The sequence below is a fragment of the Homo sapiens genome, chromosome 1 (genome assembly GCF_000001405.40).
Source record: "Homo sapiens chromosome 1, GRCh38.p14 Primary Assembly".
Lineage (NCBI taxonomy): Eukaryota > Metazoa > Chordata > Mammalia > Primates > Hominidae > Homo > Homo sapiens.
The window spans coordinates 29,350,985-29,367,399 of record NC_000001.11 but is presented as its reverse complement, the minus strand read 5'-3'; the positions used below and the strand labels follow the sequence as shown (position 1 = coordinate 29,367,399).

At 50.8% G+C, this 16,415-nt stretch overlaps 1 annotated feature.

The window, feature by feature from the left end:
- Window positions 8,002-8,675: an enhancer, noted in NCBI's record as "H3K27ac hESC enhancer chr1:29685237-29685910 (GRCh37/hg19 assembly coordinates)". NCBI's record gives its function as "activates a minimal SCP1, AML or CMV promoter by ChIP-STARR-seq in primed H9 embryonic stem cells {active_cell/tissue: H9 hESC(primed)}" and the evidence as "EXISTENCE:reporter gene assay evidence [ECO:0000049][PMID:30033119]".

The window sequence follows — 16,415 nt, the reverse complement described above, 5'->3', positions numbered from 1 at the left end:
CATGAGAGGCCCTTGAGGTGTGGGAGGGACCTGAGGTAAGAAGAGAAGGTGGCGGACCAAGGAGGGGCTAAGTCCGGTTCTCCCTGCATCTCCACATCTAGGGTGGGAACTCAGGGGCCTGAAGACTTTAAACTCAAAACTGGCCTCCTACGTTGTTATAAAATTGCATTTGTTAAAGGAGGAGGGTAGGACATCCTTTATTCACCAGTTTGTTGATTTGGTTTATCGTTTTAAATATTTGGAAATGTGGGCATCCATTTGTGCTCTTGCCCTGGGCCCCCCAAATGTCAGGGACAGCCAGAGCATCCACTGTGCACAGACAATGTGCTTGCCTGGGGGTCAGACCCACAGGCAACATCAGACACCTCCCCGTTGCATGATTAGGAGTGGGGGAGTCAAGGTGGCCTTTCCAGTCTGGTCTGATTGAGAGGCAGAGAGTGAGGTGGAGTCCTCACTTGCACAGCACTCCCCCTGTGGTACCTGCCAAGGTACCTCTCCTGCTCATGGGGAGGCATTTGATGGCACCGTGTGAGAGGGGCACGCTCTGCCTAAGTGAGAGTTGACTAATGTGCTCCAGGGCCCTTTAAGGAGGTGTGGCTGGAGAAGGTGGCAATCATCCTTCCTGCTTCCAGGTGAGGGCACCTCCAACCTCTTTGTCTGAAGAGACCAGTCCTCTTCAGAGTCAGCAGAACATCAGGAGCATGGGCCAAGAGCAGACTCAGAGGCTGTGGTTGGGGAGCTTGGTCAGCCTGGAGAGGTCTTTGTCACTCCTGCCCCCATCCTCAGGAGTTTTAATGTCCAGCACAGGACTAGGCACAGAGAGAGCCCTCGAAGCACGTGGTTGGTGAAGGGATAACACAGCTGCGGGGCCAGGGTAGGAAGATCCCCAGGACCCTTCATCCTGACCCCTCCTCATTCTTCAGCCTCTGCCTTCAGCAACTGGGGCCTTCTCTCTCAGTCTCCCAGAATGCACCGGGCTCCCGCCCACCACAGGGCCTTTACACATGCCCTTCTCTGCCTGGATTCCTCTCCTGGTCCCTGTGGCTCTTCTTACCTCCTTGGGGCAAGTCAAGTCTCTGTATTATTCGGCCTCTTTCAAAGCATCAGAGCCCCCTCTTGCCTGGCACTCACTCCAATTGTGATGAATTAATGATATGGGCAGTGATTTCTTCAGCACATCCCTCCTCCACTGGCTGCAAATTCACCAGTGAGTCTGTGCCACAGATTCGGCTGCAGCCGAGGTCCTGGGGGAGATTCGAGAAACAAGATGGTGCCCAGTAACTGAGGGGCGAGGAGGAGAGCCATTAGGATAAGAGTCTTGGTGAGGCTGATGGCCCTCCTCCCAGTCCCTCTCTCCTCTGATAAGAAGCAACACTGGCACACCTGAGACTGTTCTCCAGTGGCCTGAGGCCTGCAGAGTTGGTAGTATCTAGGAAGCGTTGGTGGAGTGATGGCTTTTTACTCATCCCATCTCCTTGAGGTCTGACATCTTAAAATTCATAGAATCACAGCATTTCAGGGCTGCAGGGACTTTCCTAGGCACTTGTTGATAACCTACCGTGGCAGGAATTGATTTATTATCCTGTGCATATTTCAACCATTTACACATACACACATACACAAGAATGTTATCTTTCCCCACTCAGCTTCTCCCCTTCCCCTGCCTTCTAAATGAGAATATTATCTTTGCAAGATGGTTTCTGATGTATGTGTGCATGTGTGCACATGATGCCAAGTCAGGAGAATGGGCTATGGAGAGGGGAAGAAAGGAGGAACCAGAAAGAATAAGCTGATCTTTCCATATAATGAAGATGAGAGGAAGTGACAGAAATAGGAGACAGAGAGAACAGCTCTGCAAGCTTGCCTGGGGAGCTGCTGGAGCTTCAGCTCATGAAAGGGTCTGCAGTTCTTGGTGGTAAGTAATGGGGCCTTCAGAGAAGAGAGAGAGAGAGAGAGGGAGAGAGAGAGAGAGAGAGAGAGAGAGAGAGAGAGAGAGAGAGAAAGAAAGAAAGAAGAGAAAGAAAAAGAAAAAGAAGGAAGGAAGGAAAGAAGACAAAAGAAAGAAGGAATGGAGGAAGGGAAAGAGGGAAGGAGGGAAAGAAGGAAGGAAGGAAAGAAAGAAGACAAAAGAAAGAAGGGATGGAGGAAGGGAAAGAGGGAAGGATGGAAAGAAGGAAGGAAGGAAGGAAAGAAGGAAGGAAACAAGGAGGGAGGGAGGGAAGGAAAGGAGCCTCTCCAAGGGCGTGGCTTTGCACAGCTCCCCCAGCCAATGAAAGTCAAGCGCATGGACTCAGTTTAGACCTGTCTTCAGCCCCTCAAACTCTTGTTACTTGTGCTCTATCTATAGCTGACTCCCAGCCCTGCCCTGGGGCCCTGAGCACTAGGCTAAGGGCAGCCCAAATCTGTGCATCCAGACTCAACAGGCCCCTCAGACTCCATCTGCCTGCCCCTGAGCCAGTCACCCACGCAGCCTCCTCAGGTTTCGCCCCTTGGACAGTTCTTAGCCAACTCAACAGCTGGGGTCAGTGACAAGAGTAGCTATTTTGAGGAATAAGAATAAGTTGATCTTTCCATGTAACAAAGATGGGAGGAGGCAACGAAAATAGGAGCTCGAGAGAGAGCAGCTCTGCAAACATGTCTCGGGGTACTGTCTTGCCCGTTGTCCACATTAAAGCCACATTTTCCTAAAGCGCCCACCAGACCAACTCACTGCCCTGTTTACGGCCCACCAAATCTGGAGCCACTAATGCCACCCATGTTCCCCCACCTCCCACCACCACTATGATTGTCCTGTTGTTCTCACCGTTGAGGAAACTAACCTCGGGGCTGTCCAGGTGTGACCTACACTTGTAAGCCACCCACCAGCCCTGCCATTGAGCACAAGATGAGGCTGCAAACAGTGGCCTGTCTGACCACTCATCATCTGCTCACTCCCAGCCACACCCCTGCATGTCTCTGTCATTTGTCTGTGGCCTGGGCTTTCTTCTGGGAATCAGGCCTCATGTTTTCCTGTAGAATATCCATTGGGCGCAGCCATCACTCACTCTCTGGGAGCCCAGCACAGGACTCTCTATCTCAATCTGTGCCCAAGTCAGGGAGACTGTGTCCACCAGTTCAGGGGCCACACTCAATAGCTCTGGGAGGAGAAGGAGGGTTCTGGCTGGCTGGCAGCACCACCTGCCAGATACCTGGGTTTCCACCACGAGCACAGTGGGTCTTACAGGAGCCTCTTCAGACAGGCGTATTCTCTGTGAAAGGAAATATGTCATGTTTCTTCTGTTCTCCAGTTTTCTTCCCAATCATCTGGGAATGCTAAGCCCTGGATCCCCAGGCCTCTGTCACTGGGGGTCAGGTGCTGACATCATGTGACCTGGAGCCCCTTCCTTGACCACTCTGGACCCCAACCTTGCATCTGTCCTTGGGACAAAAATATGAGACTGAAAAGACAAGGCAAAAAACAGCCACCTCCAAGGGTGAAGGAGAGGAGTGGAGGAGAGGAGGCCTGTAAGTGCTTAGCCCAGCACCTGGCAGACAGGAGGAGCTCCATACAGGTTGGCTGCTACTATCACGGCAGCAGCAGCGGCGTGAAGTAGTGAAGGGTTCAGCCTCCAGAGTCAGCCTGGCTGGTTGAAATCTAGGCTCTACCACTTCCCAGTGTGTCATTTGGGCAAGCTACTTAATCTTGCTGTGCCTCAGCTTCTGCATCTGTAAAATGGGGATGGTGACGGTGCCCTCACCACAGCGTTGTTGATTAAATGAGTTAATATGTGTAAAGCACTTGGCACAGGTCTGGGCACACAGCCCCTCCTCTGCTCACCTCCAGCCGGGCCCTCCCTACCCTATTAAGAGTAGCTGTCTGGGGGCCTGTCAGCCTCACCCAACCACAAGCTCCTCAAGGGCCATGCGTGTCTCTATTAGGGTGATGAACACATCCCACTTTTTCCTAGGACTGTCCTGGTCTTATCACCAAATGCCCTGCATCCCAGGAAACCTCTCAGTCCTGGACAAACCAGGAGGGTTGGTCATCATAGTCTCCATCTTTGCACCCTCCAGGTTTGTCCATTTGGGCCCAGCTCTGTGTCGCCTCCTCACAGAAGCTAGCCCTGACCCACCACCCAAACAGGCATGTTTCCCCTCCTGGTCTGTCACCCGTCACGTGGGTTCGTCTCCACGGCCACTATCAGGTGTCTTGTCCAGTGATGTTTCCACTTGTTTCCTATCCTCCTTCTCCACCTTGGGAAGGGAAGTTCTCTGAGACCAGGAGTCCCGTTCCCCCTTTTCCACAGGATCCCCACAGGATAAGCCCTGGTATGCAGTCAGTGCTCAATACATACTTGTTGGATGAATAAATATCCATTTCCTCAGCACTATGTCCAAGGGAGGGGAGGCAGCACTGAGCAGGACTAATTCAGCACCCTGGGCCAAGCCCAGTGGCTTACGCCTGTAATCCTAGAACTTTGGGAGGCCAAGGTGGGAGGATCACTTGAACCCAGGAGTTCGAGACCAACCTGGGCAACATGGCAAGAACTTGTCTCTACAAAACAGAAAAACTTTTTAAAAATGCAACACCCTGGTACTGGGGACAACAGGTCGTGGAGCAGAACAAGGATGAGGGAATCAGTTATTTTATCCAGGAGGGAGCTGAGGCTCAGGGAGGGTCATGGGCCTGCCCAAGTCACAAAGGATTTGGTGATGAGGTTGCTGAGCTGGAAGCCCACTGTCCTGACCCCTGGCCGGCCTCTTTGGCCTCTGGTCTTTCTCTGCATCCTGGACCACTTCAGCCTCTATCGAACTGATCCTTTTTCCCTCTTCTCCAGCAATACCTCATTCACCTTCCACCCCGGTGGCTGAGACCATTTCTCAACGTCCAGCCAAAGGAGTAAAAATTATTGGATGTGACTTAAGTAATAAAACAATCACTGCTGAACCATCCGGGTGCTGGAGAGCGGGGAGCAGCAGGCGTGGCGGCAGACATGTGCATCCACCTCACTGCCTTGCTCAGGATGAGAGCTCAGAGGGGCTGGGTTGGGGCTCTGGGCCTGCCCTGAATCTGCACTTCCCCAGCTGAGTGAGCCTGGGTCCGCCTTCACCTTTGAGAGCCTCCACTGCGAAAAGTGGAGCCCCACTGTGCACCCCACAGGGGTGGTAGTGAGGCCTGAAGACACCATGCAGCCCCAGCCCTGGGTGCAAACCAGCCTCCTCCCGGAGGCCCTGGCGCTCCAAACCCCGACTGGCAAGGAGTGCTGTGGGTGCAGTGATGTTGGTCCTGCCCGCTTCACAGATGGGATGCTCACTACCTAGCCATGCAAACCCACATCTCAGTGGCTCTGTATGGATGGGAACAAATCAACGCACCCCACCAACAACCACCACCACCACCACCAATTCTCCTGGCCCCAGAACAGGCCCTCTGAGTTCCTACCCTGCACACAGGGAGGACAGGGCACCAAGCAGAGACTCAGGTTCAAGTCCTGGCCCGCATCTCCAGGGAGCTGCTTCCCCCTCAGGGCACACCTGACTCATCTGTACAATGGGGTCGTTGTCCTTACCTCTCGAGCTTGTTGAAGGGATTCCGATGCCCAAGCTCCCCCATAAACCCCCAACACTCTGCCACCCCAGGTTTGGGGTTTGCTATTGATCTTGTTACTTTTTCCCCACCATGTCTGCTGCAGTTTCTCCCGGACCTTGGGAGCTCTTCCTCAGGGAGCTGGTCCCTGCTCTCATGATCCTCTCTCTCTGGACCCTGTGTTCTCCTAAACAAGGTTTAGTCCCCATTTTTCAACCCAAAGTTCATTCTTTTCTACTTGTTTTTCAGTCTGGAACAGCATTTATACTAGAGATCATCTGGTACAATTCCCTTATTGTCAGGTGGGGAAATAGAATCCCAGGAGGTCTCTCAGGGACTCAGAGCTGGGATTAGGCAGGGGATTCCAATGCCAAGTCGAGGGCTCTCTCTCTACCTTCCAGGTGGCCACCCTTTTGATAGCGCTCCTCTGAGACCCACCCATATGGGGTCTCTACACACAACTATGCCCCAGATTAGGGCAGGGCAGATGTGGAGCAGGGCCTGGGGACACAGCCTTGCCCATTGGAGAGAGGTAGAGGGGAGCAGGGGTTACACAAGCATAGATTCCTCAACCTGTGAAGTGGACACAATAAGATCTGTCTCTCAAAGGTGCTGGAACAGAGAGGATTGCTTGAAATTACCCCAGTCAAGGGACACTGCCTGGTTGAATGTGAAAAATTCAAGAATGGGGTTGAGAGGAACAGGACATGATGTTTTCGAGGAAACTGATGAATAAATTGCAAGTCATTCAGAGGTATTTGAAGCTTACCTGCCTTCACTGAATTGATCTCCAAATCTTTCCCTCCCTCTAGCAGAGAGTGGAGTGAGGAATAAACAGCAACTTCCTCCCACACACATACACACACACAGAAGAGAGAGAGAGAGACACCAGCCTCAGTGCAGACATCCCCTATGAGGGTGGTAGGGCTAGAATAGGGAGCCAAAGCCAACTTTCCTTCTGGGATCAGCTACAATCCTAATACTAACAGCTACTGTTTGTTGAGTACCTACTTTGCACCCGACACCATGGTAAGTATTTTACTGCATCGTCTTTTTTTTAATTGTTTTTATTTTTAATTGTTTGTGGGCACATAGTAGGTATATATTTAATATATTTATGGGGTACATGAGATAGTTTGGTACAGGCATGCAATGTGTAAAAATCACATCCTGGAAAATTGGTTATCCATCCCCTCAAGCATTTATCCTTTGTGTTACAAACAATCCATATACACACTTTTAATTATTTTTAAATGTACAATTAAATTATTATTGACGATAGTCCCCCTGTTGTGCTATCAAATACTAGGTCTTATTCATTCTTTCTATTGCTTTTTTGTACCCATGAACCATCCCCACCTCTCCCCCGCAGCCCCATTGCCCTTCCCAGCCTCTGGTGACCATCCGTCTATTCTCTATCTCCATGAGTTCAATTGTTTGGATTTTTAAATACCACAAGTAAGTGAGAACATACATGCATCATCTTATTTCCATCTCTCAAGAAGACAGTGAGGTGAGCATTATAAATAGCTTCATGTTACAGTGAAGGGGTGGGTTGCCCCTCCACACCTGTGGGTGTTTCTCGTAAGGTGGAACGAGAGACTTAGGAAAGAAAAAGACACAGAGACAAAGTATAGAGAAAGAAATAAGGGGACCCGGGGGACCAGCGTTCAGCATATGGAGGATCCCGCCAGCCTCTGAGTTCCCTTAGTATTTATTCATTCGTCGGTGTTTCTCCGAGAGGGGGATGTGTCAGGGTCACAAGACAATAGTGGGGAGAGGGTCAGCAGACAAACACGTGAACAAAGGTCTTTGCATCATAGACAAGGTAAAGGATTAAGTGCTGTGCTTTTAGATATGCATACACATAAACATCTCAATGCTTTACAAAGCAGTATTGCTGCCCGCCTGTCCCACCTCCAGCCCTAAGGCGGTTTTTCCCTATCTCAGTAGATGGAACGTACAATCGGGTTTTATACCGAGACATTCCATTGCCCAGGGACGGGCAGGAGACAGATGCCTTCCTCTTATCTCAACTGCAAGAGGCATGCCTTCCTCTTATACTAATCCTCCTCAGCACAGACCCTTTACGGGTGTCGGGCTGGGGGACGGTCAGGTCTTTCCCTTCCCACGAGGCCATATTTCAGACTATCACATGGGGAGAAACCTTGGACAATACCTGGCTTTCCTAGGCAGAGGTCCCTGCGGCCTTCCGCAGTTTTTGTGTCCCTGGGTACTTGAGATTAGGGAGTGGTGGTGACTCTTAAGGAGCGTGCTGCCTTCAAGCATCTGTTTAACAAAGCACATCTTGCACAACCCTTAATCCATTTGACCCTGAGTTTGACACAGCACATGTTTCAGAGAGCATGGGGTTGGGGGTAAGGTCACAGAATCTCAAGGCAGAAGAATTTTTCTTAGGACATAACAAAATGGAGTCTCCCATGTCTACTTCTTTCTACACAGACACAGTGACAATCTGATCTCTCTTGCTTTTCCCCACATTACAGAATTACAAGAGGGTCAGATAGTGGCAGAGAGAAGGCTCTAGACCGACAATGGGTTTGATTTCCACCTCTCACACTTGGCCATTGTGAGAATTTAAGCAAGTTATTTAGCCTCTCAAAGCCTCAGTTTCCTCATCTGTAAAATGAGGAGTGACAACTTTGCTGGGCTCTTTTGAGGAGTCTGCGAGCAAGCAGGTCAGTGTCTGGCACGTAGTAATGATTCACAAGTGGTGGTCATGGTCATTCATATTGTCATTATTGTTCAAACATTGCTTCTACATCATTCCTTTCCCCTGTGCCATCCCAGTTGCCCATGCTGGGGAGAACTGCAGAGATGAAACCAACCAAAAATAGAACACTGAGATGTCTCATGAACTTTAAGTGACTACAGAGAATTAAGACTTCCCTGCTGGGAGGCAACACACACACACACTTTTCTTCCAGCAAGGAGAAGGGAGGTGGGGACTCCCTGGACATTCTATGTCCTGGACATTCTATAGTTCCTGGACATTCTGTAGTTCCTAATGATTGCAGGCCCAAGCTCCTGGCATGTCTGGACATGGGACCCTCTTTGCTGGCACTAGGAGGAGTGTGAATGAAACCAGTGGGCAGGGAGGTTTCACTCTGCCTGAGGGGCCTGCCCAGCTATGGCCACCTCCTCTTCAGCTCCAAGCCTCCACTCCTGCTTTAAGACAATCTGTTCTCCACCTGACAGCTGCAGAATTGTCCCAGTACCCAGCACAGAGCCTGGCACAGAGTGGACATTAAGAAAATATTTATTGAATGAATTAACAAATTCTAAGATTCTGTAAGTCTAGGTGTCTACAATTCTATGACTGTGATTTGAGAATCTTAAACTACTATTATTTTAACCAGTGCCAAAGGGGGCCAGGCAGGGAACATGTAGCAGTGAAATGAGCCAGACATAAGAGCAAATACACACTGTGCAAACAGGGCAGGCTGGGAGGGACTCCGCTCCCCATCATGGCTGTGGCCCATTCTGAGCCTAGCGTGGGTAGATCATCCGATTTTTCAGGACATGGCAGATATATGGTTTTTTTTTTCTTTTTCTGTCTTTTTTTTTGGTAGAATGTCCTCATTTTTGCTCACTTTTAAAGAGTGGCGGTCGGGTGTGGTAGTTCACGCCTATAATCTCAGCACTTTGGGAGGCTGAGGCGGGCGGATCACGAGGTCAGGAGATCGAGACCATCCTGGATAACGTGGTGAAACCCCGTCTCTACTAAAAATACAAAAAAATAGCGGGGCATGGTGGCAGGCACCTGTAGTCCCAGCTACTCGGGAGGCTGAGGCAGGAGAATGGCGTGAACCCAGGAGGCGGAGTTTGCAGTGAGGCGAGATGGCACCACTGCACTCCAGCCTGGGTGACAGAGCAAGATTCCGTCTCAAAAAAAAAAAAAAAAAGAGAGGCATGTTTTGAAAAATATAATAATGAGATAATGAGGGAAATTGAGTGCTGGGTTTATGGAAATTCTCTGGTCTATCTTTAACTTTTCTGCAAATCTAAACCTACTCTAAAATTTAAAATTTTACTAAACAACAACAAAAAAACACCATGAGGGCCAGCCAAAGGAAATGGATCTGTGAGCCGAATCAGCCCCATGGACAGCTGTTTGCAAACTCTGTTCTCATCAGCGGTAAACACTAGGTGCACAGCCAGTGCCCGTGTCCTTGAGCAGCTCAGACACTCCCACTTCCCAGTCAGGCTGGGGAAGGTGGGGCCACCCCCGAAGACTGGGGCTAGGGGGGACACAGGGCAGAAGCTGAGAAGAGCAGGCTTGGCTGGGCTGGGGGTGGAGGTAGTTCCAGGCGGACACATTGAGAGGCCCGTTAGACGTCCAAGTGGAGAAATGTGGCAGGAGCTGACAGAGTCAAAGCCCAGGTGAGCAGTGTCAATTTGGGGGCGGCGAGTGTGTAGATGGTATTGCTATGGGACTGGGTGGTCTCATCTGGGGGAGAATGTCGATGGAGAGGAGGAGAAGGTGGAGGACTGAGCCCTGGGCTCTCCCATTTTGAGAGAGCAGGAACAAGAGAAGGACCCAGCTAAGAGACTAAGAAGGGCCAGCCCGAGAGGTCAGAGGAAGACCCAGAGAGTGCATGCCCTGGACACAGTGTGGTGAGTGGGGGGACGTACTAGACTTTGACACCTGATGGCCCTGTTTTTTATCAGATTCAGTACGAATTCTGAGATTCCATTATTTTAGCAGTCTCTGACTCCAGCAGTTTAAGGGAACTCCTTCAGACCTCGGGCTTGAGTCTGACAGAGTCTGAATCCTGATTCTGCCCCTTTCTAGCTGTGCGTCCCTCTTTAGGCCTCAGTTTCCTGATCTGTAAGATGGCGATAACTCCTACCTTCGTCTCACCTCACAGGCCCCAGAAGATACCTGGTCCATCCTAAGACAGGACACACAGGGGCTCCCATTGGCCGGCGCCCCAGATTGGCATAGTCGGGCCCGCCTCTAGCACCGCCCACGGCCCCGCCCACCCTCGCCCTGCGCACCTGCCCAGGATTCCCGGCACCTCAGCTCTGCTGCTTCGCTTCTCCTTTCCAGGTCTTGCTTCCCTTCTGGAGTTTGACTCTGACCCTTGATTGAGGCTGGTTTTAGGCAGAACTTTTATTGCAAGGGGCAGAACACACATAGCTAAGGAAAGCTAGAATGTTCCTGGAAAATTCGCAGCATGGAACCATGGCTTCAGGGATGGGTGGAGGCAGAGGCTCGAACCGTGTCACCAGGCCCTGGCTCCCTCCTTCCTTCTCTTAGCTCTGCTTCCCTCTGTGTTGATACCTTTCTCAGGCAGTCTTTCTCCTCACTGCAGGGAAGGTGGCCTCCAACAACTCCAGGCTCAGATGGTGTTTACAGGTTGTGATTCTAGAGAAAGTGGGGCTGCCTCTCTCCAAGTGTCCACATGTCAGACCAGAGGACCCTGTTAATAGAAGGGCAGGTTCCTGGACAAACGCCTGAGGTCCTCTAGATGAGCTGATGTGCTTTTTGCCTTTGCGCCTGATGATCCTAGGAGAACAAGGGTCTCCCTGAGGTGACTGGGGGGGAAGGGGGCCAAGCTTAAAGCTGAGAATGAGTTCCATGGAGTAAGCAAAAGTAGGGTGGGGCTGGATCCAAGGGCTCAGAAGACTGAATTAGTGGAAAATTTGGGAAAGCAGAAATCTGCTCATAGGGCTCTCTGTGGAAGTAGGAAGAGAAGGGAATGCTGGAGGGAGTGGAGGTCTGGACTCAACCCCCACCACCGTCCCCATAGTCCTTGGAAGAGGTAATGTCCTAGGTGTTCTTTTGAGCTCTGGGCCTCAGCTAGACTGCCCCCTTCAGCTGCTAGCAGAATGGACACACAATAGGAAGGCGAGTGCCTTATATAACCCAGGACTGAAGAGGAAAGTATTTATCACACAAGCAAATCACAGGAGGAACCAATCAGCAGAAACCGCCAGTCAGATGGATCAATCCGATTAATTCCTTTATTCAACCAATCATGTGTTGAGCAGCTGCGGTGAGCTCCTATTAGGAGACAGGTGGGCTCGGTGGTGCCTGCTGGTTCCCAACAGCCTTGGGCCTCCAGGCGGCTTCCACCTCCCCCACCAGGGAGCAGGTCTCACCAAACAAGCAAAGGATAAATGGCCTCCTATGGGTGGAAGCCGTTCATCCTTTCCAGGCATGAGGGAGTGTGGGGGACTCCCGCCTGACATTTCAGTGGTGCATTGATACGCTCGCATCTCCAGGCCCCTGTTGATGTCAAAATGTTATGATCTTGCTGGGAGAAGTGATGAATGGAGCACAGTGGAATTAAATATAGTCCTGAAACAGGATGTGGGCTCCTGAGCGTGTAGTCATGGTGACAGCATCCCTGCTGACTTCACTCACCAAAGGGGATACAGGCACTTGGGGGGAAAAGGCACCTGTCAGGCCCTCCTGGGGACACTGCCCCCAGAATCTCTGTCTCATCAAGAGACTGAGGATGTTCAACTTTGTTTACTCATTCACTCACTCCATCTATTTACCTAGCACCTATTTTGTGCTAGACATCATGAACATCACAGGATGTTTCCCATCTGGAGACAGCAAATAGTCTAGGAGAGGAATGAGACATAAATAAATATAATTTAAAATGTGGGTGCTTATTGTGAAGTGAGAGAATAAAACAATGTGAGGGAGAACAAAAAGAGGGATTGATCTGGGGAGTCCAGGGAAGGCCCCACTGAGGAAACATTTGAACTGAGACCAGGAGGGTCAGAATGAGTCAGTCAGGTAAATAGGAGGAGAAGAGATTTTCTAGTGGCCAGAGCGGTCTATGCAAAGGGCCTGAGGCAAGAAGGAGCTTGGGGCATCCAGGGAACAGAGACCCCAGCGAGGTTGCAGCAAGGCTGGAAACACCACCAGGACTGGGTCAGGCGGGACCACGAGGGCTGTGCCAAGGTCTAGCAGCTTAACAAGGGCAGTAATGGGCCATGGGAGAGGTTGAAGCTAGGTTGTGATGCCACTGGGATCCTGTGTTTAAAGATCCTCTGTCAGCAGTGTGCAGAGTGGGTTGGAGGAGGGGGCAGGAAGGGAGAAGAGTATTCCAGGAAGAGGAAGCAGCTCACAGGCAGGTCAGGCAGAAGGCGTGGGCGGACATGTTCCAGCAACTGCAGGAGCAGGTAGCTGGGAGCCGTGAGGGAGGGGAAGGCAAGGGTGGGGATTTGGACGGGGATTTGGACAGGGCCATGCAGGCTTCATAGCTGCTGGTTCAGAGTATGACTATTAAATGGTGAGAGAAGACATGATCCATTTTTTAAGTTCCCTTTAAACTCATTCTTACTTTGTCCAAAAGCCACCAGTGATCACAGTGCAAGGAGGCTCAGCTCCTATAGGATGGGGGAAGGGATCCAACAGAAAACGGTCCCAGCACTAACCTTTCTACCTGTGTGGCCTCGAGTGGGCTCCCGAACCTCTCTGAGCCTCAGCTCTCTCCTCAAGAAATGAGGCTGAGGCTCCCTACTCCATAGGCTTTAGAGCGGGCCTGAGGAGCTCAGATGTGTGGCGTGGGGGTCAGTGCTATCGTCCATGTCATTATGTGTCCATTTACCTTGTAGACAAGGAGCCACCACAACATTCCAGGAAGCAGAAGGGTCAGGAGTTGTCCCTTTTATTTTCCAGATGAGAAAACTGAGGTCCAGAGAGGGGGAGTGGCTCTCCCAAGGGTGGCAGGTGGTGGGCAGTGCCCAGGAGATCATGAGGTGTAGGATGGTGGAGTGGTTAGAACTGGCCCTCTCTGGAGCCCCATGGACATACATTCCAAATCTCATCCCTGCCACTCACCAGCTGGTGCCTGGGTCGGTGGCCTGACCTCTCTGGAACTCAGTCACCTCACCATTTTTTATTTTTTTATTTATTTTTTTTTTTTGAGATGGAGTCTCCCTCTGTCACCCAGGCTGAAGTGCAGTAGCATGTTCTTGGCTCACTGCAACTTCTACCTCTACCTTCAAGCAATCCCCCTGCCTCAGCTTCCCAAGTAGCTGGAACTACAGCTGTGCGCCACTACACCCAGCTAATTTTTGTATTTTTGGTAGAGACGGGGTTTCACCATGTTGGCCAGGCTGGTCTCAAACTCCTGACCTCAAGTGATCCACCCGCTTCAGCCTCCCAAAGTGCTGGGCTTACAGGCGTGAGCCACCACACCCGGCCAGTCACCTCATCTTTAAAATGGGCTTTATGCCCTCCTGTTCCATGAGGTGAGGATGGACAAGATGGTGCTAGTGAGGGGCTGCACCACTCCTGGCACCTTCTCTTCAATGCTCGTTCAATGGTAATTTTGGTGACAGGACCTGGGACTTCCCCCAGCCTGGCAGAGGGTTCACAGTGGCCGAGGCTGCACCCATGTTTGTTAGGGTGGAAACTGCTTAATAAGCTGGCATTAAGGAAGCACATCAGGAGAAGGCAGGAGGACAATGCCTGGGTAGAAATCACTCTCCCCACTCAGGGAGCAGCTGCCCTGAGCCCCTCACACTTGGGCTCCTCTTCTCCCCTTGGCTCTTGGTGGGATCCACTGTCACTTCTGCACAGGGATAACAATAACAATAATGATAATCCCAATCCTCAAATCTGTCCTCTCAGCAGAGCTTTGCCTGCACCAGCTGTCGCTCCGTCCCCACCTCCCCCAAGAGAGGGCTGCTAAAGGCAGAGTCTTTGGGCAGGACGTCCAACACCAACACACTGTGTGACTCTGGACAGGTCCTTTCCCATTCTGGCCCTCAATTTCCCCTTCTGCACAACACAGGTGTTGAACTACATACTCCTAGGGGTAGGAAGAGTCAGTCCATTTGAGCCATTAAGTTCTGTAAAGATGTTCTGGGAACGTGCATGCATCTGCCCCCTCAACTCCCACTCCCCCCCTGACCTCATCCCCTCTCCTTTCCCCAGCACAAAGCTCTGCCCACAGTGACCTTCTGCTATTCCCCAGGGCCTTTTCACAGGCTGTTTCTCCTGCCCAGGAGTATGCTTCCCTCAGCTGTAAGCAGGGTTTGACCTTCAGTTCATTCCCATCCCTGCTCAGATGTCCCCTAAAGTGTCACCAACCCCCATCTATCACTCTTTGACTCCCTAAATTGCTTTTGTCCCCTCAAAATACTCGTGTTGAAGTCATAACCTCTAGTACCTCAGAATGTGACTGTATTTAGAGATAGGGCCTCTAGAAGGTGATTAAGTCAAAAATGAGGCCCTAAGAGATTAGGACACACAGATATCAAAGTGGACACAAAGGAAAGACCACTTGAGGACATAGCACAAAGGTGGCTAGCCAAGGAGAGAGACTCCAAAGAAACTAACCCCGCAAGCACCTTGATCTTGGACTTCCAGCCTCCAGAACTATGAGAAAATACATTTCTGTTGTTTAAGCCACTTAGTCTGTAGTGTTGTTATGGCAGCCCTAGCAAACTAATATGTCCCCACTACATAGTACTGATCAGCCCCTGGCATTTGTCATATATTCATTTGTTGTTTGTCCCCTCCCTACACCATACACTAGAATGTGAGCTCCACAAAGGCAGGGACTTGGCTTATTCTGTATCCCCAGACCACAGAACAGCACCTGGAACATAGTACGTCCCCAGTAAATGAAGAAAGTGGAGCCAGACATCCCTGATTTCAAGTTCTAGCCCTTTCACTCCTTCATGGTGTGACCTTGGACTGCCCCTTAACCTCTCTGAGCACACTGTGTCTCATCTGTAAAATGCACCTAATGATCACACCAAACTCAGAAAGGCTTGTGAAGCCATAGCAGACAAATGCAGGCAAACTGCCTAGCACAGTGCCTGGTGTGCAGCATATTCTCCAAAATAAAAGATATAATTGTTGCTGTTATTGCAACAGTAGCAAGTTCGATCCTTCATTTAACCCTCTACAAACACACATTGACACCTCTTCTGCTGTCTGATGCTGGAGACAGAAAAATCACTCTGGCTTCTGACCTAGGTATGCTCACAGTTTAGTGGAGGAGACAGACGAGGGGACATGTGCCAAGACAGAAATAGGCCAAGCAGGGAGGGCTTCACTAAGAAGGGTATATTGGAGCTGGATCTTGAGGCATGAGTAACAGCTCACCAGATCAACAGAGAGGGGAGGGCATCTAGACAGGGAGAAAGGCAGGTGCAAAAGTAGGGACACATGCTTTATGGTTTGTGTCTGGCTGATGTCTGTGCCTCTGCATGGGCTGTGAGCTGAGGGCACTGGGAGCCTGGGAAGGGTTTCCAGCTGGGAGGGACCCAGCCAGCTTTGTGCTGCTGACGGGCATTCTGGGTTAGACTGGAGGGGACAAGCTTGAGGGCAGAGAGCATGCATAGCATGTGGAGCTGGGGCATGAGGTGGGCTTGACTGGAGGACCAAGGAGGGCACAAATGGTCAGGATGTGCCTCAGGTCAGCTGGAGAGAAGCAGTCAAGACAATGGGCTTGATGTGGAAATGCCTGAGCTGCAGAACAAGGCTTCTTCAAACTCCCAACTAACGTTGGGGCCTCCCCACCTAGGCAGAGATAGACTGGCAGGCAAGCTTGGGGGCTGGGGGGTCAGAGAGCTGAGAAGGTCAACCAGGGCATCACCCACACAACTCACAGGGATCAGGAGGAACATTCTGTCAACCAGAACCAGGGCAGGAAAGCTGACAAGACTAGAGAAGTTTCCTCCCACCAGACAGCCAAAGGGAAACACATTTGTTTTCAGGAGACAACGTGATTGTTTTTTGCACTGAAAAGGCAGGAATAGAAAATTCCACTTTCCAAGACAGTCATCTCCTCCCCCAAGCATTAAAGGGAGCTTCTGTATCCAGCTTATTGGTGCTTGAAATTCT